This window comes from Homo sapiens, chromosome 19 (genome assembly GCF_000001405.40).
Source record: "Homo sapiens chromosome 19, GRCh38.p14 Primary Assembly".
NCBI classification, from domain to species: domain Eukaryota; kingdom Metazoa; phylum Chordata; class Mammalia; order Primates; family Hominidae; genus Homo; species Homo sapiens.
The window spans coordinates 31,152,996-31,180,264 of record NC_000019.10 but is presented as its reverse complement, the minus strand read 5'-3'; the positions used below and the strand labels follow the sequence as shown (position 1 = coordinate 31,180,264).

At 44.5% G+C, this 27,269-nt stretch overlaps 1 protein-coding gene and 1 long non-coding RNA gene across 3 annotated transcripts in view; one reads left to right on the top strand and one right to left on the bottom strand.

The window, feature by feature from the left end:
* LINC01791 (long intergenic non-protein coding RNA 1791) overlaps positions 1-12,755 on the bottom strand; it is a 40,154-nt gene extending 27,399 nt beyond the window's left edge. The window contains exons 1-2 of the long non-coding RNA NR_147209.1: positions 12,676-12,755; positions 12,432-12,580 (exon numbers count right to left, since the gene is read on the bottom strand). This is a non-coding gene — a long non-coding RNA (long intergenic non-protein coding RNA 1791). The remainder of the gene's footprint in view (positions 1-12,431; positions 12,581-12,675) is intronic.
* The window catches only part of TSHZ3 (teashirt zinc finger homeobox 3), a 201,002-nt gene that overhangs the window by 170,613 nt on the left and 3,120 nt on the right, over positions 1-27,269 (top strand). For both annotated transcript variants that reach the window (NR_138035.2, NR_138036.2), the window contains one exon: positions 23,848-23,909. The gene's annotated coding sequence lies outside the window, so the exon portion shown is untranslated. The remainder of the gene's footprint in view (positions 1-23,847; positions 23,910-27,269) is intronic.

Sequence of the window (27,269 nt, the reverse complement as noted above, 5' to 3'; positions counted from 1 at the left end):
TCATTCATTCATTCGTTCATTCATTCATTCATTCACTCACTAATCATCATTGGCTTAGCAATTCCTGAGTAGCAGATACCCTGCTAGACACTGCCAAGCCCTAGTCTACAGTAATAATCAGATACTAAACTTACCTAGAGGAGCTCACAGAGGGGTAAGGAACACAAACAAACTCAAATGTAATTATAATACAAATTGCCAGGACCAGGGGCTTTACCAATTCCTGTGTTTTCAGGGAGGTCCAAGGGAGCAGAGGCCAGCTCTGACAGTTAGGCTGTATGTAGATCTCCCAAATCTCTGAGAATCTCTACCTCCCTATCTTACTGGGCTCGTGTGAAGGTTGAGAGCCCTTAGAACGCTGAGTGGCACTATATGAGCTCAATAAATGGTAGTCATCATCACCACCATCTTTACTACCACCACCACCACCACCACCTCCATCATCACCACCACCATCATCATTGTTACCACCACCATCACCACCATTATCATCACCCCCACCATCACCACCACCATCACCACCACCACCACCACCTACCATCATCATTGTTACCACCACCATCACCACCACCACAATTATCACTCTTACCACCACCATCATCATTGCCACCATCACAAACACCACTGTCACCACTACCACCATCATCATTCTTACCAGCACCATCACCACCACCACAATTATCACTGTTACCAGCACCATCATCATTGTCTTCATCACGGGGATAGATTCTCTGTTTGCCCCCCTCCAAATCTACTTTCTATCTTCCTCCACCCTGCTCTGTACTCCAGGAAGCTGACCAATGTGGACTTCATCCATAGGCTCTCTTACTCTTTGACTTCTAGTTGGGAATGGCTAATTGGGAGCACTACAAGAGATGGATATCAGAGGACAGTCAGAGTATTTGTTCCCCTGTCTTTCTCTCTTCTGGGCCACCATGGACAGTGGCTGTATTCTCCTGGCAAAGGTTATCAGATGACCTCTTCCACTGGACAGCTCTCTCTGGGTTCTGGTTACTGCTCCTTCCCTGGCCCTTCAGGTCACAAGGTGATGGAGGTTGCTGCTGCTGATAGCCCTGGAGTGTTTTATCTTCCCTTGCTGTTTTCTGTTAGTCCCTTTCCCCATTGTTGTGAGTAGTCCTGTCAGGAAGCTCTTCAGTCAACCTTGGGTGTGTCCTGGGTTTCCCACTAGGATCCTGACCATTCAACCATCATGCTCATCATCATCATCATCATCATCATCATCATCATCAGTGCCTTCTGCAGTCCAGGTCTCCTGCTCTGTCTTCAACTACTATATTTCCTGATTTCCACCACCATCTTCCCCAGAGGCACAGGTGCACATTTCTTCAGCCAACTTTCAGATATTGACACCTGAAGCTGAAGCACGTGGTGTTTGCATCCTCCAGGACTCAGCTCAGGCATTATCTTCTACAGGAGGCATCACTCACCTGTCCTTCCTCCAAGGTCCAGATGACAGCCTTCTGATGACATGTCTCACCCTGGAGCACAGTTTCCTTCTGTACCTTTTGCCCTGTGAATTCCTGCAAAGAGAGAGGCAAGGATGCTAGCATCTTCTTTTTTTCTTGAGAAGGAGTTTTGTTCTTGTCGCCCAGGCTGGAGTGCAATGGCGCGATCTTGGCTCACTACAACCTCCGCCTCCCGGTTTCAAGTGATTCTCCTGCCTCAGCCTCCTAAGTAGCTGGGATTAGAGGCATGTGCCACCACGCCCGGCTACTTTTGTATTTTTAGTAGAGATGGAGTTTCAACGTGTTGGCCAAGCTGGTCTTGAACTCCTGACCTCAGGCGATCCACCTGACTTGGCCTCCCTTACAGGCATGAACCACCATGCCCAACCGATAGCACCTTCTTTATGCCAACATTTAACATGGACTGTTAAGGATAGATCCTTGTGGCAAGCAGGAATGAAGGAGGGGTGCGAATGAGGAACAACTGACATTTGCCCTGAATACTATTATCACTCCAGCTAGTCCCAGTAGCCAGGAGATGCTGACAGCTCTCTCTGCAAACTGTGACTACCACCCAGGGCTTAGCATGCTGGAGGGACTGGGAAACATTTGTTCAATTAAACAAAAAGAACGATCATATCTATCATCAATGGGAAGCTTACTATTTGCTAACCCTGAGCTAAGTATCTTCATATGTTGTTTCCTTTCATGCTCAGGCTGTCCCTGCTGTGAGATTGACATGATGAGGAAATTGAGGCAGCTCTAAGCCCAGGCCTGTTAGCCTCCATTGTCTACACTTGCAGCCACCAATGCCCAGTCCGTGGTGTTTGATTACAAAAGTAGATGAGGGGAAGCCAGAAAGTGGACTACAGGAGCCTCTAAACATTTGTCTTATTCTCATTGTGAACATCAGGTTCATGTCACTGCTCTGTCCCCGCCTCCCCTCTCTGCGCAGTGCTATAAAATGGGGCAATGATAGCACCTTGTCCTTGGGTTGCTGTGAGCTTCAAAAGAGAATATTCCTGCCCTGAGATGTCAAGTTATTATATTCTAGATGTGGTCAGCAGACAAATGGGGAAAAAAAGCAACCCCCAAAGATCTATTTGCTTCCCAGCGCGCAGAACTTATGACTGTTACATTTTACAGCAAACACTGGGATTTAAGTGAGGGATGCTGAAAGCAGGAGCTCATCGTGGAATTTCCAAGCTTACCCTAAATGCAAGCACATGTGTCCTTGTAAGAGACAGGCAGCTAGAGAGGAGACCCAAAGGCATGCAGAGGAGAAGGGTATGTGAAGATGGAACAGAGAGTGGAGGGATGTGGCTGGAAGCCAAGGAACATTGCAGACGGCCAGCAGCCCCGAGGCTGGGAAGGCAAGGGATGGAGATTACATGGAGATTCCCGTGGGGCCCCTTGAGGGAGGGCAACCATGCTGACACCACCCGGCTGGCCATTCTCTTATATCATGTCTCTCCTGCAGCTTCTGGGGGCACAGGAGAGCTTAGCACATCTCACTCCTCCCAAATCCAAGTCATTTTCAGAAATGTTTAATTTGAAATACAGCATGCCTACAGTAACCCACTGTATGAAGGCGCCATGGTCCATTGATGCATCCTTCTGCTGATGGATTCTTGGATAGGTCCCAGTTTATAGCAATTCTATACTATGCTGCTGGGAAAAGTCTGCTGGGATAGGGCAGGAATATTCTCTTTTTGCTCACAGCAACCCAAGGGCCAGGTGCTATCATTGCCCCATATGCACATACTTCTGCCAGGTACATTCTTACGAGTGGCATTGCCAGGATGGAGGGTACACATGGTAGATACTGCCAGTTTTCCCAAGTGATTCTACCAGTTTCCATTTCCACCAGCAGGGCATGAGAGCCCTGTTTGCTCCAGGTTCTTGTCAGCTCTTGGTACTTTCTGTCCTTCCAATTTTGCCAGTTTGTGTGGTGGTATCTCGTTGTGTTTTTTGTTGTTGTTGTTGTTGTTTTTCAGTATTTCCTTTTTTTAAGAGACAGAGTCTCTGTCACCCAGGCTAAAGTGCACTGGTGCAATCACAGCTCATGGCAGGCTCAACCTCCTTAGCTCAAGCAATCCTCCCACCTCAGCCTCCCTAGGAGCTGGGACTATAGGTGTGTGTCACCATGCCTGGATAATTTATTTTTATTTTTGTAGAGAGGGAGTCTTGCTATGTTGCCCAGTCTCAAACTTCTGGCTTCAAAAGATCCTCCCCACTTGGCCTCCCAAAGTGCTGAGATTACAAGCGAAACACCATGCTTGGACTCATTGTGGTTTTAATTTGCACTTCTCTGATGATTAGTGAGATTGAACAGATTTTCATAGGTTCATGGGTTGTTTGGATATTCACTTCTGTAAAGTATCTCTTCATATCTTTCTCCATTTTTCTTTCAGATCACTTCTCACTGACTCATCTGAGTTCTCTTCCAACTATATATTCCAAAATCATCTGTGATAGTTAGAAACTTGATTGTCAACTCTGAAACATGTGCCCACCCCTCCTCCCCTACACAGCCTCTCACCTCCTTTGGTCCGGATGGATCTACAGGACTTCTGCTGGTGGGTCCAGCCAAGCCTCTCTCCTGGATGTCCCCTGGGCTGGATTATTCTCACCACCTGGCCTTGCCTCAGTCTGCACCACCTACCTAGAGATCCCTCTCTTTTTACCACTGTGAAAACTGACTCAAGGTGCCCCCAACCCCAGAGGGCTTCCTCCTCCTTCAGCCCACACAGAACTTTCCCCTCAGACCCAAGTTGCAGCCCCTCATGGGTTCCCTTCCTTGTCTCTGAGTGAGCCTTCTCTCATTTTACAGAGAAGTAATAATCATAGGCTCCTAAGGGTAGGGCTGTGTCTCCATCTTCTTGATTCCCAGACCAGAACCTTCCCAAGTACTGGGCAGAGATGCGGGGCTAAGTAAAGGCTGATGCCAGCCAGGCCTGCAGTGCTCAGGGACAGGAAGATGGGGGAAGAATGCTCACCACTCCCTGCCTGCTCCTGGCCAGGGCCCCACTGGCCGCCTCCACTCAGAGCAACAGAGAGCAGACACACAGCTGTTCCATCTGAGGCCCTGTGCCTTGGGCACTCCTGCCCCTTTGTACCCACCAAGGGCCTGAGCCAGAGCCTCCTTCTCCCCACTAGGATGTGCTCCCTTTCCTGAAGACCCTGCCAAGGAGGAACCTTGTCCTTCATGTCACCCTTGTGCCAGCCTCTGAGACCCAATCTAACCCTGAACACATGGCTCAACTCTACCAGAACCTCTCCACAGAGTCCCTAGAGGAAGGTTTATCAGAGCAATGCTTCTAAAACCAATTATTCTATCTAAAATTTGTAAAAAAAACACAAACAAATTAAAAACATGACAACTTGGGAGAGATGATTTTAGCTTAAGTCCTATATAGGGGTATTTCTCTTCACAGTTTTAGCAAGATTTATGCACATAACATTTAACACTTGAAGACAGCTTCTCCTTTATTTCATTTTATTTTTTTTCATTAAAATTGATCAACAAAACACAAAGCCGTATGTGCCAACAGGAAAGCGCAATGTAAGAATTCCCGGCCGAGGGCTGGCTGGCTGTGCAGGAAACTGACCTGTGTCTATCCAGCTCTGGGCCTCTTGGGGCAGCCTTGCCAGTCATGATGAACTGGGCCATTGCCTGACCCCTTTATCCTACAGACAAATGGCCTTCCAGGGCTGGGGTGAGACCACAAGGCTCATTTCCACTCCTCACTTTTCCAGGAAAGCCCAGCCTGGGACCCGCCCTGTTTGGGCTTTGATTTGCTGTGTGGGACCCAAGTCAGAGGAGTCAGGCCAGGGGATGTTTTGCTCCAGATTAAAAATAAAAGCCAGAATGCATGCAGGGGGGATTTGGCTGTCAGAGATGGATTTTTGTTTATTCCCATAAGGTTTGATCCCATCCAGTCTACTTTCTTCCCAATCTCTCTCCTGGTCCCACTCCTGTTCAGCCCCCTGGCTCCTTCTGGTTCTCATCAAGTACCCTCTCCCCTCCATACCAATGTCACCTTGCCTCAGCAAAATTCCATGCCTCTCTCTCCTAGATCTCAAATCACACACAGAAAGTTTTCATTTATTCAGTATTTCATTAATTCAAGAAACAGCTGGTGGATGTGATACTCTCACAGAGAAGACAAACCCATAAATAGATAACCAGATAAATAACTAAGATAAAGTCACAAAATACCAATACAAAGGGGACACACCAGGTGTGATGGTTCATTTTAGGTGATCTGGGCCACAGGATGCCCAGATTATTGTTATTCTGGGTGTTTCTGTGAGAGTGTTTCTGGATTAGATTAACATTTAAATTATTAGGCTAAGCAAAGCAGGTGGCCCTCCACAATGTGAGGTGGGGTGGTCATCCAGTAACTGAAGACCTGAATACAACAAAAAGACTGACCTCCTAGGAGGAACAGGTAGCTCCTTCTGATGGACTGATGGAGGTGGGACACTGGTCTTTTCCTGTCTTTGGACTTGAGCTCAAACATCTGCTCTTCTTGGGTCTCGAGCCTTCTGGCTTTCAGACTGGAATGTACACTTAGCTCTCCTGGTCCTCAGGCCTCTGGGTTCAAACTGGAGCTACCCCATGGGCTCTCCCGGGTCTTCCCCTTTGCTGACTGCATGTCTGGGGACTTCTAAGCCACCATAGTCACATGAGCCAATTTTTTTTTTTGTTTGTTTGTTTTTATTTTTGAGACGGAGTCTCGCTCTGTCTCCCAGGCTGGAGTGCAGTGACATGATCTCAGCTCATTGCAGTCTCCACCTCCTGGGTTCAAGTGATTCTCCTGCCTCAGCCTCCCGAGTAGCTGGGATTACAGGAACACCACCACGCCCAGCTCATTTTTGACTTTTTAGTAGAGACGGGGTTTCACCATGTTGGCAAAGCTGGTCTCGAGCTCCTAACCTCAAATGATCTGCCCGCTTCAGCCTCCCAAAATGCTGGGATTACAGGGAGCTGATTCTGTATAATAAATCTGTTTACATCTATGTATCCTGTTGGTTCAGTTTCTCTGGAAAACCTTGACTAATACAACAGGATCCGGTGGGAGAGAGTGGCCAGGTTGGAGGAAATAATTGAGCTGATGAGGAGAAACAGCCAGATGTTCAAAGCTCTTAGAAAAGAACATTTTAGGTGCAAACCATAGCATGTGCAAATGCCCTGGGATGGGAACATATTTTTTCAAGAAACAGACAGAAGTAAAATACTTATGAGTGCTTTCCATTTACCACCTGATGCCCAGAATGTCCTCATCTGAGCATATTCCTCACCTGAGGCATAGATGACATATTCTTAATGTGACCTCATTTTTAAATGTGCAGTATAGTCTTTTGTACTGAGTTAAACACTATAGGTAAGCACTTAGCAATTGAGAGTAAATGTAGATTTATTGTTTTTCACAACAAACAAGGTAGTCAGGGATTCCTTGTTTACAAACTACTTTGCATTAATTAAATGCAATCTGGAAGTCATCTTGTCTCCTCTGTATCTCTCAGACCCCACATCTAATCTGTGAGGTAAGCCTGTTGGATTGCCTTTAGAATATTTCCACATTTAGAATATTCTCGCATCCACAACTGCTGCTACCAGCTTGGTCCCTCACCTCCAGGCTATGTGTGCCCCATCCCAAGTGACCCACCACATGGTCATTGGATCTTCCTTTTCAAATAAGAGTCAGATAATTAATACTACTTCTCAGCTCAAGAGCCCTACAAAGGACTGCCATTTCATCTAAGCATGAGCTAGAGCCCTTATGGTGGCTCTGAGACCCTACATGATCTAGCCCCATCACCTTCTGTCCCTATCTTGGGTGTTTTTTCCCAACTCCTGCCACTCCCTCCTTGTATTCCCACTGACCTACTGCTGTGCCAGGAACAGGTCAGGCCCACTTCTGCCCCAGGGCCTTTGCCTCTCTCCCTAAGATTCTCTTCTTCTAGATTTCCATGGCTCCCTCCATTTTAAAATCCTTGCTCAACCTCTCCTCAATGAGCCTGATCTTGTTCATCCTATTTACATTGCCGCTGCCAACTGCTTAGCTTGCTTCAGGTCTTCTGACCACTTTACTTTGTTCTATTCTTCTGTTCCCTGCAGATACTTCTGAAATAAAATATGATCTTTATGTTCATGATGCTTTTTATTTATTGTTTGTCTTTCCACTAGAACGTTAAAGTATAGGGATTGTTTTCCCAGTTTTGTTCACTGTTGGCGTGTGTTCTCTGCTGAAGAATTTGAAGTTTACTGAAGGAACACTTGCCTGTGCATTTCTTGAGTATGTGTGAATTGCATGTTTTGCATTTCAGACTTGTGTGAAAGCTAAGGTAACAAAGCAGTGTACATGGGAGATTTGTACTGCTGCCACCACCATGACTATTGAAGGAATGTTTGCAGTGGGACAAATATTATACCAAATTTTTGCCTGATTTTCTCTGTACATTTCAAACCCATCCTATTAGACAGACAGTGTTATCGCCCCCATTTTACAGATGAGCACATTGAGGCATAGAGAGGATCTACAACTTGCTGGTTGTCACTAAGTTGATGCTGTCAGTAGCAGAGAGTCAACCCAAAAAGTGTGACTTCAAACCTCTGCCCTAAATCTTGGTCGGCCGCCCTTCCAAGGGCACTATGATATGGAGGTAGCTGAGGGTGGGACATGGGTGAAGTGTACCTCCAGACCAGGTCTCTCCAGAGATCTTTCTCAGTTGTCATGGTTGTTTTGGTGTCTCTTGAAGGACCAGTATCCCCCCAACCACGGGACCCTCCATTAAAACAGACCTATAAGGCCTGGAATGAACAAATGGGTCTTCACTGAGGAGAGGCTTGCATGGTTACTCAGATCTCTAATACCTGAGCGGGGAGAAGATTTTGGAGAAATGGGACACTGGGCAGGGAACTCTGGCCTCTGAGGGGAAAGGGAAAGGCCTGGGGCAGAATGGACAGGGCTCTGATGGAAGGCCTTCTCAATACTGACATCACATTAATTCTGGTCCTGGTGCACATGGGCCCAACCCTAAAAAAATCCACTCCTACCCCACAGGGAGTATGAGGCCTTAGTTATTGGGCATAAATACCTTTTATAGGCCATTATATCTTTTCTTTTGAAACAGGCCTAATTGTCCCATAGAACTGAGGTTTATGGGTTTTTTTTTTTCTTTTTTGAATAAACATAGAAATTCACCCTCCCTGTCTTAAAGCTTGAAATTTATCTTTGTATGAGCTGAGTCCTTTTCTCAGGAAACTGATTCTCTGGCTTCTAGATAGTATCACCACATCCAAACTCTGAGATTCCAGACTGCTCCCTAATTTCAGTTTTCCCACACATAGTTACATTTCTTCCCTGCTATATAAACCCCTAATTTGAATCAGTTGGGAAGATGGATTTGGGACTCATCTCCCATCTCCTGGGCTGCATCATCTGAATAAAGTCTTCTTCCCTGGCAATACTCATTGTCTCAGTGATTGTCTTTCTGTGCAGGGAGCGACGTGATCTAGACCAAACCCCTGGCATTTTGGTAACACCGCCTTCAAGCTGTAGAGCAGGACAATGGCAAACAAATAGCCTGGGGCTCAGAGACCCAGGCAAGGCTACCAAGCGGGGTACTGGCATCTCTCTTCCTCTTCCCCCACCACCTCATTTTTTCTACCAAGTGTACATTTTTCTTTACTGAGACCATTTTTCCCACCAAGTGTAAATTTTCTAATTTTGATCTGTTATACCTAAATTCCCTTTCTAAAGAATTTCTACTCTAAGAAACAAGTTGATTTCTCCATTGAAGGGTTCCACTGTAATTAAACTGATTGCTGAAAAAGACATCATTCTTCTTTTAATAAGCCAATTTGCATATTCAATAACTTTAGCCTCACTTGCTGAAAGACAGTTTGAAAGTTTGTTTGTATATTCTCTGACTCAAATGTTTTCAGATTGCCTTACCTCGTCTCCATTAATGGGGTGATAATGGAAAGAAAATGCAAGAAGAAATTTCTTTTAACAACAAAAAAATATTTACTTTGTTTTAAAGCACTACAATTAATAGACAACAGGGCCCCTGTGGGGAAACATCTTTTCAAAATCAGGTGTTTTGTAGGTTACTTTTAATTTCCTATTCATAAACTGATGCTTGCAGTCTAGCTGGACTTGGAAGGGTATGAGAGAAATATGGAACCCAAAGAATTACAGCTAATGAGAACAGATGGACCACAGGACCCAAGAGCATGTAGATGTGGGATGCTCTCTTTAGCTGCAGGAAGAATGGTTTGGTGAAGGTAAGAGTCACATTTGTTATGGGCTGAATGTAGGTCCCCCCAAACCCCCAAATCATATGTTGAGGCCCTACACCTCAACATGATGGAATTTGGAGAATGGGACCTTTGTGAGGCGATTAGGTTTAGATAAGGTAATGAGGGTAGGGCCCTGATGATGAGATTAGTGCCCTTATAAGGAGAGGAAGAGACTACCAGAGCTCTGTTTCCCCCATCAATCCCTATGTGAGGACTCACCAGGGAGGTGCTTGTCTGCAAGTCAGGAAGAGAGCCCTCACCCGAACCTGATCATGCTGTCACCCTGATCTCCAACTTGCAGCCTCCTGAACTGTGAGAAAATACATCCCTGTTGTTTAAGCCCCCAACACTCATCACATTTGTCCCCAATCAGCAACAGTGACCTTCTTGCTAGTTTTGCTACTCCTGAACCCAAAGTGAGGCTCCATGGCTTTCAAAACATTCATGCTACATTTCACCTTGCTTGTTAGCCATTCAGCTAGACCCTATTAGCAGTGCAGATGAAAAACAGCTGACTGCTGTCTGTGGCCAAGATGCCAGAACCCATAAGATGGGTTTGTCAGCAGACTTCTCCCTGCAGAAATCCCCTGCCACCATGGTGTGTGAGGTCTCCACCCTGGCATGAAAACCTGGGACAATTCTAGGGCAGCATATATCCTCATAACCAAATCCCAGATATTCCTTCTGTCTTTGGAACTTTGCACATCGCTCAAAGGACACATGGCCAAGGGCTCACCCTTACTGGCATTCTGGAAGATCACAGCATTGCTCGGTGTTGCTGCGGCACAGACTCAGGGAGTCTGTGTCTCCAGGACCAGACACAAACCTCCTTTTTTTTCATTGTGGTAGAACACACATAATAAGAAATTTGCCATTTTAACCATTTTTAAGTGTACAACTCAGTGGTATTAAGTGCATTCATATTGTTGTATAATCATTACTGCCATCCATCTCCAGAATCCTTTCATCTTCCCCAGCTGGAACCCTGTACCAGTAACCCTGAATTAAACAGTAATTCTCCATTCCCCCTTCTTCTCAGCCCTTGGGAGTGCTGTTCTACTTTGTCTCTATGGCATTTTGCCTATTTATTCATTTATTCATCTACCAATGAACACTTGAGTTGCTTCCACTTTGGTTATTGTGAATAATGCTGCTATGAACATGGGTGTACAAGTATCTCTTCAATTCTTCAGGGTATAGACCCAATAGCGGAGTTGCTGGGTCATATGGTTATTCTATGTTTAATATTTTGAGGAACCCCTGTACTGTTTCCACAGTGGCTGCACTATTTTACATTCCCACTGGCCTTTTTACTTTCTTTTTCTCTGCTTGAACAACTAGTCTCTCTCTCTCTCTCTCTTTTTTTTTTCAATGTCTGCTTCAAATAACATGAAGTCCACTGGGTGGAGTGACCATCTTCCCCAGCCCTGTGGTTCTCCCATTTCCAGCAACCTGGAGTGGGGATTTTTGTATTTATTTCTTTGTGGGGCTAATTTTTCAATATGTCTTCTTCGCATGTTCACATAAAGAACTGAATTTATAAAATAGTGGAGACTTGCATGGAGACTCAAGCTTATGACAGTTGGATGCTTTTCTCCCTCAGGATGAGTTGCTTTTTATACACCCCACACTATCCAAGTATGCAGCAGGCCACAGACTACGTCCTACGGGGCTCAAGACCAGCTGGCCCAGGTCAAGACCTGGGTACAGAACCTATTGCATTCCACATGGCCAAGGTATACTGAAAGGCACAGAGGGGAATGAAAGACATTGGCTTTTCTTTGTTAAGTGGTGTCAAAATCTAGGCTCTTGCAGCTTCCATCCCCACCTCAGATGTGCCAAAAGACGTTGAGCTTGCTGGTGGAAGCCAGTGTCTCCTCTGACCCTTTGAGTTAGTCATGATAATACGCTTCAATCTTCAGAGCCTATGGTGTTTGCCATTTTCCAAGTGGAATTCAGGCGCTTTGCTCTCTCCAATTTCTAGCTTTGGCTCCAGTTGTTCAGTAATGCAATCTTGAAAGGGTGAATTTGGACAATCGCAGCTTGGCCATTTTGAGCACATATGCTAGAACTAAGTCTTTTTGGCCCAGCTGTAGCTTGAATCTAATGAAAATGACAGATAATGCAGTGCTCTGTGTGCCTGCCAAAAAAGAGGATATTTCCCATGAGATAGCACCTGGTGATGCAGAAATAGACACTATAGATTTGTGATTGGCTGGTGCGTACGCGTATTCATATCTAGCCTGTATTATCAACCACGCAAGATCACATCTTGGATAATAACAGCAACAATGGCATGCATAAAAATTACTGCAGCAAAAAGGAAAAAAAAATACTAGATCAATTATGTCAATTATGCACGAGTACTTTTTCCCCTCACAGTTTTAACACTGAGAAAAGGTGGCATCTATCTCTGATCTAATTATTCACTTGCTTATTTGTGGGTTCCCCCATCTTTGAGCTCTCCTCTTTTACAGGCAGATATAAAAGAGCTCTCTTTTAGAAACACACCGTGGACTCAAACGTGCCTACATACATATGTGACTTACATTTGAGCAGTTGAATAATCAGTAACTTGAAAGTAAAGAGGAAACGCCTCTGCGTGTTCTAAAGGGAAGCGACGGGAGGGGTATATACTGAGATGACCTTACCTTAGAGCAAAAACGCCATCAGCCTCGAGAAGTGTCATAAATTAAGTTGCTATTTAAGCCCTGATTCTAGTAAAAGGGTCCAAATTTCCAAGGTGCCTTTAATGACTCTGTGTTCAGTGACAATGAAGTATTTCTTTAACAGACTGCCACTGAGCAAACAGAAAAAAATGTGTGGCTCTGGAAAGAGAGCTTGCTGTTTTCCCTTTTTTCTTCCCTTCCTTCTTCCTTTCTACCCCCTTTTTACCATCCTTTCCTGTTGCTCTTTCTTTGGCCTTCCCTTTAGAGATGCAGTTGAAAACCCTCAGCACACAATCTCGGAATGAGACAAGGGTGGAATTCTGGCAGCCTGTGTTCAACTCTTGCTGGACTTGCTCTGTGACCTCGATAAAGGTCTGCAACCTCACCATGGACACACAAAACACTGTTACACCATTTTTAAAGTGAGGGGGCTTGAATTGGATGTTCTCCCAGGTCCCTTCAATCTCTCAGATTTGAAGCAAAGGGTAATTTACCTAGGCTAGCTTAGGAGGAAGGTGATTTTGAAAGAGAAATACAAAATCATTAAGCAGATCAGTAAATTTGATAATGAATTGTTTCAATTACATTCAGGTGGCAGCAGATGTTAAATTACTTTAGCAGAACCAAGCTTAGAGGTTTGTGGTTTACTTTTCTCATTTAAATATATAGATGCAAAGGAAGAAATCACATTTCCAGTCCATCTTCTCAAAAAGCCCTACTGCGTGAAGCCCTGTAGCATAACTTCTGTTGGTCAGGAGATCAGGAACATGGGGCTCCGGTCTCAGCTCCACTTCCCAAAGATTGCGTGTGCTCTGGGTGGAGCCTTCCCCTTTTTGTGTTAAAGATCTGCCATCTATAAATGAGGGACAGACTCATCTCTGGCCCCAAAATGTGCCATGCTTCCTTGTACTGTCATCTACCTTTGCCAGGCTTTGAAAATATATATCTCAAGTATATTTGTGTTGAGCATATAGTACTTTTCTTAAGCATGTGGCTTGTGAGCTCCTGTGGGACTGGATCTTTTTGCATGCCGTAGGGGCATATAGTCTTTTGGGGAAGCTTATGATGATATTGGTTGTAGCAGTTGCAGGGGTGAAAAGGAGTGATAGAAGATGGACATTTCATCCCAGCACCGGCATCTTGACTGCCCTAGACAGGCTTCCTGTGAACCCAAAGCCTAATATGATCACCAAAGGGTCATGTTCATTAGCCCAGTTGACCCCAGGAGAGGCTGGATTCCAGCATCCAGTGGAGGAGGGATATATGGCATCTTGGTCCCAGAAGGCATCTCTCCATCCTCTCCCTTCTTGGCTGCAGCCTTCCTGGGAGCCAGTTGCTCCAAGGCCTGGCTCTAGAATGCCCTACAGAGGATAGGCACAGTGCTGATGCCACCTGTTCCCTCTCCCTCGAAGTCCCTACTCTTTCTCCAGGCTCCCTGCCCTGTCACATGGAACAAAACCACACTGGGTCTGCTTAGCTCCTGAGACAACTGCCTCTTTAAGAACTTATCTCATATTTTCAGAAATTGACTGTGAAAATTCTAAGTAATGGTGTGACATGATCACACTCACTTTCTGTAGTTAATCCTTCACGAGGGTCAGGCTCCCCTCTCTTCTCAGTGGCTCATTTGATTGTCACCTACCTTGCACAAAACCTCCCAGCCCCGAGCACTGTCTGGTGGGTTGACAGGCAGTCAGAGTGCTGAACGCTGTGCAGGAATAACTGAATTAGAAAAAAGCTGCTGGCGCTGTAATAAAGCGTTTAATGGACAGACAGCCTCTCTTGCCTTCCTTGGGGTAACACTAAATCCCTTTTTATTGTAGTTTGCACAGATGTTAGTGAGTTATCCATTTCTCTAATCATACTAGAAGTCGGCACATCCATCTTAAATAAGAAGACCAGCCCACTTGCTTTTACAGAGTCCTTTTTCTAATAAACTTGTGTCAGTTTCAGGTCAGTTTTACCAATACAAATAAAATTCAAACAAATAAAAAGTATATTGTCTCATGATGAGATTTATGTAATTATGTCCCTTAGGTCACTTTAAATTTACACGGGGAGTTACACCCTGCATAGTCCTTGTTATGGCCTGGATTTTTCTCTGATTCGGGGACACACACAAATACCCACCCACAGAGTTTACAATATTGGATCTCCCCGGGTCAGGGCAGAGCCTTTGGTGCAGAACAGCCCCTTATTTTTGTCCGAGGGCTGAGCTGGCCTGTGGGTGAGCTGCACTCGGGTCTTCTCTGAAACCATCCCCATGAGGTCACAGTTTTTGTTTCTTCGTTTATTTTATCTTTGGATGACTTCGTTTACATCCAATCTGTGCTCTAGGTAGGCCAATGTTCCACCCCTGTTGTGGTCTTATAGACCACCCAAAGATCTTTTTGCAAAAGAAAATTTTGCAAAAGAGGTTCATGTCATGAAAAAAAATGTGTTTTTTAAAAGGACACAGTGGGGAAAAAATCCTACACACCAAGGTGCTCCCATCTGCAACTTCTGTGGACCTGGGAAAGGTCACCTGAAGTTCAGGCCAGGATAAATAATTGCTGTGGTGAGGGTTCCTTTTTTCCTTTCCATGGAGTTGATGGGTTCACAGCGGTAGCTGAATCTTGATAGATTGGCAGACGCTGAAAGGAACCGCTAAGCGGTGACCGGGGCAGGGCTGCACTTCAGTTCTCAGGGCAAAGGCTGGGCAGCGGAGATTCCGGGGCTGGGTGGACGACAGGGGCCAGGTGACAAAGCCGCCTCTGTCCCTGCACAGAGCAGGAACAAACGCCGGCCCTGGCATCATCCCCGGGACGGGCTCGGCAGGGTGGGCTTTCCACCACCACTGAGGCCCGAGGCTGCCGCTCGCTTTTATGCACAGAATTACTGCTCTCTGGGGTCTCCCCTGCAAGTGAGAAGGCTGTCTGTGTTGTGTTTCCTGGTCCAATCGGCCACTTCATAAATCAAAGACGATGGGTGGTGTATTAACCATTTGATGTCCTGTTGCAGAGAGGGAAAACCACCGCAGCAGCCACAAAGGGGGGAAAGGAGGAGAGCTTGGTGGGAGCTGCACCTCACCCCGGGGAGAGCTGCTGGAACAGGAGCCTTCATGCACGCAGCGTCCTTAAAATCTTTGAATTCCCTGGCTCACTCGCCCATCATTCTGCCAAAACTGAGGTCCAGAGAGGTCGGTGTGACTTGTGTAAGCTCTATCAAACAGGAGGATGGAGAAGCTCAGACTGGGACCCGAGGCTCTGGCTCCTAGCACAGTGCTCCTTCATTCACTCACCATTCATTCATTTATTCAACAAATGTGTATGGAGTGTGTGCTCTGTGCCAAGCACTGTGCTAGGCTGTAGGTGGCTGCCAGGGAAATATTTAGAACAGTGTCTAACATTTCACGTTTATAAAGAAATATTAGTGTTTCTTTCTTTGGTTATTAATGAATAAGTATGCAATCCTGCATACCTGAGATTTCTATCCTTCCAGGGGCTCTTGTTGGGTTTCTCTCAGGGGTCCAGGTCAACAGCGCGTCCCCAGAATTCGCAGTGCAGGAACAGCGGGGCATTCAGCTTCCATGGGCAATAGTGCGATGTTCTGGGTCGATGGCCTGAGAAGCTCTAAAACAGCCACCTGGCTGGTCTCGTTCTCTTTCCTGTTGCTCCAATGCCTATCCCCTTTACTGTCCTCTAGACCTCTGGCTGTCCCTGACCACCAAAAAGGTGTCGGGGTCAAGGGTCTGGACTCTGGAGCCAGCCGCTCACGTGAGACTCCCAGCTCGACCACCTGCTCACTGTAAGCACCAACTTGGGGACATTACTTAGCTTCTCTGCACCTCAGCTTCCTCAGTGTAACATGGGGATGATAAACACGCACTTACTTCTTAGGATCTTGCACAAATTGAGTGAGAAAATGCCCATGAAGCACTTAGGAGGGTGCCTGGTGCAGGGTAAGCCCCCAGTATATACTTGCAGCTCTTCTTGATGGGATTATTGGTGCCCAATCACCTCTCTGAGCTGTGTGCCCCAGCCTGTCCTTTTAATCCATGTTCCTCACTGGGGCCATAGTCATCTTTCTTGTTCTTTGTTTGTTTCGAGACACAGTTCCATTCTGTCACCCAGATTGGAGTGCAGTGGTACCATCTCAGCTCACTGAAACCTCTGCGTCCCAGGTTCAAGTGAGTTTCATGCCTCAGCCTCCCAAGTGTCTTGGATTACAGGCAAGCGCGACCAGGCCTGGATAGTTTTTGTGTTTTTAGTAGAGGTGGGTTTCACCGTGTTGGCCAGGCTGATCTCAAACTCCTGACCTCAAGTGATCCGCCCACCTCGGCCTCCCAAAGTGCTGGGATTACAGGCCTGAGCCACTGTGCCCAGCCACCATAGTCATCTTTTAAAGCATCTTACCAATAATTGTACTCCCCACTGAAACTGTCATGCCTCTCTATTCTCCACTACAGAATAAATCTGAGTTCTAAAAATTGGCATTCAAGGCCCTTTATAATCAGATTTCATCTTTCCAGACTTAGTGTTACCAACTCAACCTCAAACCCTATGCTTTAGCTTATCTGGCCCCATCCATCCATCCATCTACCCTCCCACCCATCTACCCATTTAAACATGTGCACCCATATTTCAGACTGATGAAATAGGCCAAAGATTACATTCTTTTCCAACAAAGCTTATCCTTTCTGTAAGGCCCACTAGTTTACCTCCTCTTGGCATCCTTAAGAACACACCTGAGTTCATCTCCCCTGGTTTCACAGCTTCATGTCCCAAGGCTTGGGTGTCAATTGCAGCTCCTAGGAATGTTAAGAACATCAGTTTCCTTCTCTAGATAATGAGAGAGACCTAGCTTATTGGCTGCTGTGTGATTCAGTGGGGCACATAAAAGCTGTAGCACAGGACCTGAGACAAAGTGGGTCCTCTAAGAACTGGAATTATTCCATTACTTCCCACGCTTTCCAGGTCTCGGGGTCTCTCTGAGTGCCCATGCACTTATGTTGACACCCCTGGCTGTGCCATGGTTCCTTGTTACCTCCCTACTTTGGGTTAATCTTGCCTAACCTCATGTATGCTGAGCACATAGTAGATGCTCAAGAAAACATTTGGTTTAGGGATAACAAAGACATTTCACAGCACTTGTTAACTTGGACTGATTGTGAGTACCTGCATAGGGAGCTGAGTTGACAAGGATTCTGAGGCTTTGCCTGATCTTGGTGGTAAAGAAATTTCATGATCAAAAAATGACGTGTGCTGTGAGGTGGAAAAGGAAAGAGAGGCAAGACTCCAGCTCTCCATGCCCCAGGAAAATCCAAGAAAGTCGGAAAAAAGCCGTCATCCATTTACTCATTCATCCATTCAAGTGTCTGAAACAAATTTGGGCGGGCCAGGAAATAATTTCCCCCTCCTCTATTTGCAAGACTCACATAAATTATTGTTTCATCTGACAGCCCGATAATAGCAACATTTCCATTATCCATTCAAGAGTGATGTTACCACTTTCTGAAAAAGTATTGAATGAATATTATACTTTAAATTCTACCTGATTATAATTAGATTATAATCAGATTTTTTTTAAGTATTTCATCAGTACTGAGTACCTACTGTGGGCCAGGCACTGTGCTGGGGTGCTGGGGAAAAAGTGATCAATAGGACACGCAAGGAACTCACAGATCCTTGGAGAATAAAATCAGGGGAGCAAATAACGAAGCTTCAAATCACCACATTGGCTTCACCACCTAATTATGCATGAGCACAGCCACTGATGAGTTCCCTGGGCTCTAAAATACTCACCGGGTACCTCAGCTAGACATATGTGAAAGTGACCTACAGATATCAGGAGATAACGACCCATGTTGGTGGATGGCGGGGGTCAGGAATATGGCCAGTGGGCCACATCCAGGCCCATCGCCTGTTTTTGAAATAGCGTCACTGGAACAGAGCCATGCCTCTTCATTTACATATAGCCCACGATTCATGCCCTACAATGGCAGAGTTGAGTTGTAACAGAGACCGTGTGGCCTGCAGAGCCAAAAATATTTACTATCTGGCCCTTTACAGAAAGGGCTTGCCACAGCATGGCAAAGGAACAGAATAGGCCGGTTCTAAAAATGCAAACTGCACGTCTGCCTGATTGGATCCTGCACATCAGGGCCCAGGAGGTGGCCCAAAGTTACTGAGGGGAAGGGTGACCCAGAGGGGTTTCCAGATATTAGGAAATGCAGATGCGACTCAGAGAACATCTCTTATGGAGGAAATGTTGTGTGTGCCTAAGGGAGGTCAAGTAAAGAGCGAATTCTAAAGAGGAGAAACTGTGGGACTCATATCCCTAAAACTGTGAATCCCATATCTCCAAAACTGGTGATGTTAGCATAGGAAAATGCAATTAGGGCATTCCAAATTATATCTATGCATGTACTTCTGTTTAAAATCTCAATTATTTATTTGTCTAAAATATGTTGTTCTGCCTTAACTTTAGTCCTTAGTTCAGAGTTGTCTGCTAGTAAAATATAATTCTAGTTGTGTGTGCTCCTTAATACTGGAGTGGGGTTTGGTTAAATACACTGTAGGAAATCATACCGCTATCAGGCATCCAGAATCTAGGCTCACCAAAATAATTTTTAAAATGTTTTTCTTGGTGATATGGATGTACTTTTATTATGTGTTTATACACATACAGAGGCATTCATATATGTGTGGTGATCAGGAATTATTCCATGTGAGATACACACACACATACACACGCACGCAAAGATATATAAATGAATGTTAAATAAAATTTAACTTTGGAACTATGTAAGGAAATCTTGAGCTGTAGAGACATTTAAGAGAGAAAGAGTTGGGTAAAATAAGTGAGAAAGACAAGGAAATGCATGACAAATTTACATGTGCACACAGACATACATATATCAGCATACAGAAAAAGATATTTAAAGCATATATATATATTCATTTGGACATACACAAATATTTTAAGTAGAGATAAGTATAGAGATATTTAAATTGTGTGTATATGCATGTGTGTGTGAATGTGTGTGAATGTGTATGTGTATGTGTGTATGTGTGTGTAGTTTTGTGTATGTGTGTGTGTATACGTGTGTGTATGTGTATATACGTGTGTATATGTGTGTATGCATGTGTGTCTGTGTGTATGTATGTGTGCCTGTGTGTTTGTGTGTGTGTGCGAATATGTGTGTGGCTAAACTATCCCTTTCCTTCAAGACCTTAGAAGCTGAGGCCTTTCCCTGCAGCTGCTGGACTCCTGCTGCTGTCTGTCTGGTGGGAATTAGTCACACGTGGAGCTTAAAAAGTGAGCCAGACTCAAATACCCATTTGGAGGGCTGCCTCAAGACAGAGTATCCAGGGGAAATTCGCTTTATGGCTGGGAGTTAGATACCAGGGTTGTCACTCTGAAGAGCTGCACAAAGAAGAGGTGTCTTTTGTAGTTTCTTGGCAGAGGGGCAGATAGACCGCAGAGCGTTGTTGTTTTTGCCAGTTGTGTCTAAGAACAGCACCCTTCATGCATCTTACAGTGCAAACTGATGTCTAACACGTGCACACCACCTAGAGGGAGGCCTCCAGAGTCCACAGCCTGTGCTCCTACTTGTTGGCTGTGTGACTTTGGCAAATTACTTAACCTATCTGTGCCTCAGCAACTTTACTTGCAATACATAAAGAACAACAGTACCTGTCTCGGGGTTAATATAAAGATGAAACCAACTGATATTTAAACACAAGGCCTGGCCCATTGTAAGCCCTCACTAAATGTGAGCTATCGTAGTATTATTTATTCCTCCAGGGGGAAGTGTGTTTTTGCTATCTTCAAGAGCAACATTCTGGGGTGTGGTGGCTCACACCTGTAATTCTGGCACTTTGGAAGGCTGAGACAGAAGGATTGCTTGAGGTCAGGAGTTTGAGACCAGCCTGGGCAACATAGTGAGACCCCATCTCTATGAAAAATAAAAGATTAGCTGGGCATGGTGGCATGCAGCTATAGTCTCAGTTACTTGGGGGGCTGAGGTAAGAGGTTCACTTGAACCCAGGAGATTGAAGCTGCAGTGAGCCATGATTGTATTGTTGCACTCCAGCCTGGGTGACAGAATGAGAACCTATCTGAAAAAAAAAGAAAAAAAATAAAAGTCACTTCATAAAAAGTCATTTTCTTTCAATTAACATTCCTCACCATCAAGGTACCTTATAGTTGGTGAAGCACATTCACATCTTGAAGCAGTGATGCCCAATAGAAATAGAATGAGAGCTTCATGGACAACTTTACATTTTCTTATAGCCACATTAAAAAGGTGGAAAGAGACAGGTAAAATTAATTTTAATAAAATATTTTTATTTAGCTCAATTGTGATAGCCAAAATAAAGACCTCCCCGAAGGTGTTCAAAAATCTTTGTTTCATGGCAAAAGAGCATTGAGGTTGCAGATGGAATTAAGTTTGCTAGCCAGCTGATTTTAAGATAGGGATGTGATCTAGATAATCTGTAATCACGAAGGTCCTTAAAAGTAGAAGAGGGATGGCTGGGCATGGTGGCTCATGCCTGTAATCCCAGCAATTTGTGAAGCAAAGGCAGGTGGATTACCGGAGGTCAGGAGTTCAAGACCAGCCTGGCCAAAATGGTGAAACCCCCATCTCCACAAGAAATACAAAAATTAGCTGGGTGTGGTGATGGGTGCCTGTAATCCCAGCTACTCAGGAGGTTGAGGCAGGAGAATTGCCTGAACCCAGGAGGCGGAGGTTGCAGTGAGCTGAGATCACGCCACTGCACACCAGCATGGGTGACAAAGCCAGAGTCCGTCTCAAAACAAACAAACAAACAAACGTAGAAGAGGGAGGCATAAGAGAAAGCGAGAGTGGTGCCATGGGAGAAGGAGTGAAGTGTCATCTGTATTTACAGCCACTCCCCATTGCTTGCATTACTGCCTGAGCTCTACCTCCTGTCAGATCAGCAGTAACATTCGATTCTCATAGGAGCACCACCCCTATTGTGAACTGAGCATGTGAGGGATCTAGTTGCATGCTTCTTATGAGAATCTAATGCCTGATGATCTGTCACCATCTTCCATCATCCCCATATGGGGCCACCTAGTTGCAAGAAAGTGAGTTCAGGGCTCCCACTGATTCTACATTATGGTGAGTTGTAGAATTATTTCATTATATGATTACAATGTAGCAATCATAGCAATAAAGTGCACAATAAATATAGTATTTTTGAATCATCCTGAAACCATCCCCAACTCTGGCTCGTGGAAACCTTGTCTTCCACGAAACCAGTCCCTAGTACCAAAAAGGCTGGGGACCACCATTCTAGAGCCTCCAGAAAAGAATGTAGTCCTGATGACATCTCAGTCTTATCCCAGTAAAGCCTGCATTGAACTTCTCACCTACAAAATGGTGAGATAACAAATTGGAGTTGTTTCAAGCCACCTACTTTGAAGTAATTTGTTACAGCTGCAATAGTAGACTAATCCACTGGTATACCAAACATGATCATTTTAACCTGCCATGGATAGGATGAATTGTTAATGAGATACATATATTTTTTTCTCTATTGTCCTTGAGATCCGGTGTGTGTTTTACATTGATAGTACATTTTCTTTCGTCCCAGCCACATGTCGAGTGTTCAGTAGCCACATGTGGCTAGAAGCTATGGTTTTGGAGGGCACAGACTTAGATAAATCTCACATTTTTAAGTGGTGATGTTAGCAGTAGGAAAGTACAATTAGGGCATTCCAAATTATATGTATATCTATAGTTTTGTCCTCAATCCCAATTATTTATTTGTCTAAAATACATTGTTCTGCCTGAACTTTAGCCCTCAGGTCAGAGTTGTCTGCCACGTGCAGTTGACAAAGTTGTTCATTGTACCACGAGAGTGACCACAGGGTGAGGCAGGGCTGGGAAAAGCGGTCTTAGAAGCAGCCTATGCCTCAAACATCGAGGCCTGCATCCTGCGGACTCTGCCTACCTCCCTTGGGAGCATAATGTTGTTATATTTATTTCAAGTCTATGCAGCAGAAGGAATAAGTCATTATCTTTGCATAGACTTTGATTCCCTTCAGCCCCAGTCCATTCTCCTTGGGCCCTCCCATAGGCGATTAGAATCATGAAATAGGTTGACACCTTCCAGCCCATCTGTGCCACTTTCCTGTACTTAGGTATATAGCCATATATGTTTGTGTTTAATTCACATAAACAGCATCATGGCATTTTATGTTATAATCTACCCTTTTCCTTCAACATTTTTTTGTATTGGTGATCTATGCAGCTCTCTTTTAAGAAGAACCAGCACAGTTATTCTGTAATGGGCTAGATTGTAACTACTTCCAGGCATTTAGGTTACATGTGGATCTTATAGTATCTATTATACCTACTGAGCTCTAACCTTTTAGAGCAAAAAGTGGCCACAGACAATATGTGAATAAATGAATGGGTATCTTCTAATACAACTTTATTAACAAACACAGGAGACAGACAAGATTTGGCTTGCTGGCCACAGTTTGCTGATTCCTACTCTAGTTCATCATTTTAGCTGCTACTTAGTCTTTTACTCTTTGAATATAGCAAGACTTGTTTTATCTACTGTTCTAGTGACAGTAGATAGCTTGCCATCATTTTCTTGTATTACAAGCACCACTAGAACACATTTCATGGACTGGTTTTCCTGTGCACCCACCTGCCAAAGAGTTTCTTTAAGTTAAATTCCCACAAAAAAAAATGCCAGGTTAGAATGTCAATATATGTTCAATTCTGTACCTAGGGCCTCATTGCTCTCTGGAATGGTTGTATCAATTTACCACCCTGCTCTCAGGCAAGAAAGTGCCTATTTTCCCTTCAGTCTCATCGCTGCTGCATGAGGGACTCCTGGGCCTGGTCACATTGGGCAGCAGAAGTGGCCTGCCAGCCCCATCCCCATGCACCCAGCTACCTTCTCAGTGCCGTAACTTTTTGCTTAGGAGGAAGTCAATTCTGTAGGTCATGATTAAGGAAGGGACCAGGATCGGCTGCCTGTGTTAAGCCATGACACTTATTCAAAGGATAAACTTTATTTCATCACATCTTGTTAAGCTTAACTCACAAAGCATATTGCACTTTATCTTAAGAAAAAAAAATCCATGAACCACTTGGCTTTGATACTGATGACCCTGGGAATGATTTTGCAATGCAGGAAATCAATTTCCTGGTCTTATAACATCATTTCCAGAGGTGTGATCACCAAAAAAGATGGTGCTCCCATAAAGATCTTTGTGCTTCTGCAGGTGGATAATGATCCAGAAGTCAAAGCTTCTTCACTTTAAATAGATGCCCTGGGTGGCTGATATCTGCTCCTGCTCCCGACCGACAAAAACTGGTGCCAGTGGGATGTCTTATCCCACTGATAATATCTTGTTTTGTTTATAGGGAGAACAAAGAACTGTGGGCATCGGAATCGGGAAGACCTACTGCCTTTAGGAAAAGACAAGGTATTTGGAGACTGGAATTATTATTGTTACACAAGTGCTAAAAATTTTCTCTGTCTGCTCCTAACTGTTCTTTCAGTTAACAATATTTATTGAATACCTATTACGTGCCTGACACTATTCCAGGTACTCATAATACATCATTGAATACAACAGACAGAGTCCTGCCTTCTTGGAGCATACATTCTAGAGCATATACAATAAACAATAAGCAGAATAGGCAAATTAACATTGGCCCATCTGTTTTTATTGTGCTTCTTCCATAATATGTCCCAGGAACTCAGGTTTTCACAACACGGTCCCTGACCTGAAGAAAGAGGCACACATTCCAATAGTTGAGCCAGATTGGTTAACAACAATAACAAAAGCAAAGCAATGTGATCATTAGATCATTATTCAGGGTATATTCTTATTGTGCATCAAATGTCACAAAGTATTTATTATTCCCAATGGTGTCACTAAGGGACTTGTGAAAGGTTCTCCTCCAGGAAGTTGGGGAAGGCCCCTTGCTCTCTGAGGCCATTAGATCGGTGTCCTGGAAAACAAGTTAGAGGGAAATGGAGGGGAGCATTTAGGGCAGGGAAACCTCAGGTGGAAACAGGTAGAGGCTAGGAAGGCAAGATAGAAGTCAAATTATCAGGGGCAGACGAAGGCGAGAACTTGGGTGTGTGTCTGAAAGCCATCTAAAGTCCTACGGTAAGCAGTGGTAAAGGACGTCTAATCTAAAATGCTTCCAAAACAAAGGGGCACTAATTTAAGAGAATGATCTGGGCCCCGAGGCCCTAGAAGCCTGCCTGACTCACAGTGTGCCTTCAGTAGAAATTTATCACATGAATGCGTGAACTAGCGCCCAGGCTGCGGAAAGATATGTCCTCAAAATGCAAGTCACAATTATTCCATTTTCTGATGGGATGGTCACTTTCCTACAACGAAGCTGTGTTTGGAAAGCCTGGCAAAGAAACAAATTAGATTTATGGCTATGCCTTTGTTTCAAAAATGCTGTCATCTTGAAGGCACAGTTCCAGCATCCCTTATGTAATATTCTGCTCCCTGTCGGAAGGGGTTATCTAAGGCAAGTAAGAGAGCAGGGTACAAAGGATTCCAGGACAAATATTCCTTGTCCAAGTAACATAGTCCCAGGGAGAGCATGGGATCACGTCTAGATGAGGCCAGATTCAATGTTCAGGCGGCTGTGAGGATGGGGCTGATGGAGACAGTGCAGGTGATTGGTTCGCTAGCTCTGCTTTTCCATCCATTTGCTCTGATTCCAGACAGGGCTGGTCCTTCTCTTTGGAATTATCTCCAAGAACCACTGTTGAAAGATGCTTTCAGGACTTCTCTTCCCAGGTGGGAGAACAGAGGCAAGGGGTGTCCCCTCAGCAAACCTGGCATCTTTACCTGTGAAGTTGGGACACCACGGCCATGAGGACAAAATGAGACAACACATGGCAAGTGCCGAGTAAGGGTCCTGGCCCTTATGATAGAGACAGGAGGCAGCAAGTGTCCCCCCACAAAACCCTGCCTTCAAGCCTAAAACAGCCTGAAGGCTAAAAAACCAGACTTCAGGTCTCAAATGAAGCCCACACTTTCCTGATTCTCTCTGAAAAATGCCCACCTGCACACTGGGAGGATGGGATGGAACCTCGGGAAGTTCAAGCCATTTGCGGTGATAGGAGTCTGGTCTCTCCTGTTTCTGGGAGCTGACCTGAGATTCAATCTGTGAGATTGGGGCCTGTTAACATGAACCCCTCTTGCTTTGCTGAGAGTCTTCTTCCTTTTCACCCAATAAACTCCATTATCCCCAGCCCTTCAAAGTGTCTGCATGGCTTATTTTTCCTGGTCATGTGACAGGAACCTGGTTTTTTTCTACAACACTTAGTCAGGTGGTTCTCTTCTTTATTCCCTACTGTCCACTGAGGAATGAAGGACAGATGTCCTGGCTTGGACATGGGTATAATATCTATCTTGGTCATTTGGGCCAATTCAGTGTCTTGGGTACAGGGTCATCCATCTGGGGGACTGGATGACATGAAGTTGAGTCAGAGAAAGATTATGTGTGGACTTGCTATTGTTGCACTGCAAGCAAATACACCATGTCAGTGGTACACAACAATAAACATTTCTGTCATTCCTGTGGCTGTGGGCTGGCTGGGGCTCAAGGCACCTACGGGTGGGGCTCTGCTGGGTAGCTCTGCTGTCAGTGTTTGGTGCTCTCTTTCTGGGCCCTGCAGGTAAGCCCAGGCATGTTCTTTTCATGGTGATGGCAGAAGTACAAGAAATGAGCAGAAACATGCAAGTTCTCTTAAGGCTGAAGTTCAGAACTGGGATACCATCACTTTCCTCTCTTGCTATTGGCCAAAGTCAGTCTCCTGGTCAAACACAAGAGTGAAGAAATTTGCTCCACCCTTTAATGGGAAGAACCACAGACTCATAAGGCAAAGTTCTAAACACAGGGCTAAGGCTGAGAATTGGGGCCAATAACTCTATCCACCAAAGGTGATATTTTTGTAATCTCTTTATTAAATGAATTATGTCAACACACTTACTAGACTAAGGGAGGGAAAATTACCTAACAGTCAACAACCATATTAAGCACATATTTAGTCATTTACTCAACAAATATTTATTAGATACTCACTCTGAGCCAGGCACTGTTTTAGGCCCGCATTACCATAGCAAACAAGAAGGACAAAGCTCTTGCTCTGGAAGACAATAAATAAGTTAACAACAACAAAAAGTTTAATTTATGATAATACAAAATAAAACAAGAAGTCAAGTGATAGCAACTACGTGGTATGTGGAGTACCTTTAAATAGTGAGAACATGTCTGTTCAACAAACTATGGATGATATTTATCAAACACCAATCAGACATCACCATCTGATGATCATAGAGTTTCTTATTCTGCCAAAACTGCAATCCATTTTATTCTCAGCTTAAATGACTGTCCTTCCACTCCTTTCTCTATAAGTAAGATGAAGGAGAGGGAATTAATTTTACACATAGTCTTTCTCTTTTGTAGAATGTTTCACCAGAGTTTAGAAGACTTATAGTCTAGAATGTACATTTTTTAGTAGGAATCCTGAGTGCCATGTTATATTTTTTCCTAAACATCTTTTTGACGAACAGTAATCATGGTAGAAAACTGGCCTTTATACATCAGTATCTTATGTCACACGGTATCATCAACTTTATGCAACACCCAACCGTAGTAAACAGCTGAACTCCAATGGCAGGATTAGTATGATTCTAACCAGAGTTCCTGATCCATGAAACCATCCAGTGAGATAATTACACTGAGAAATGAGTCATCTAAAAGACAGCCTAAATGAAGTTGTTATATTGGATTATTCAAATGCTTAA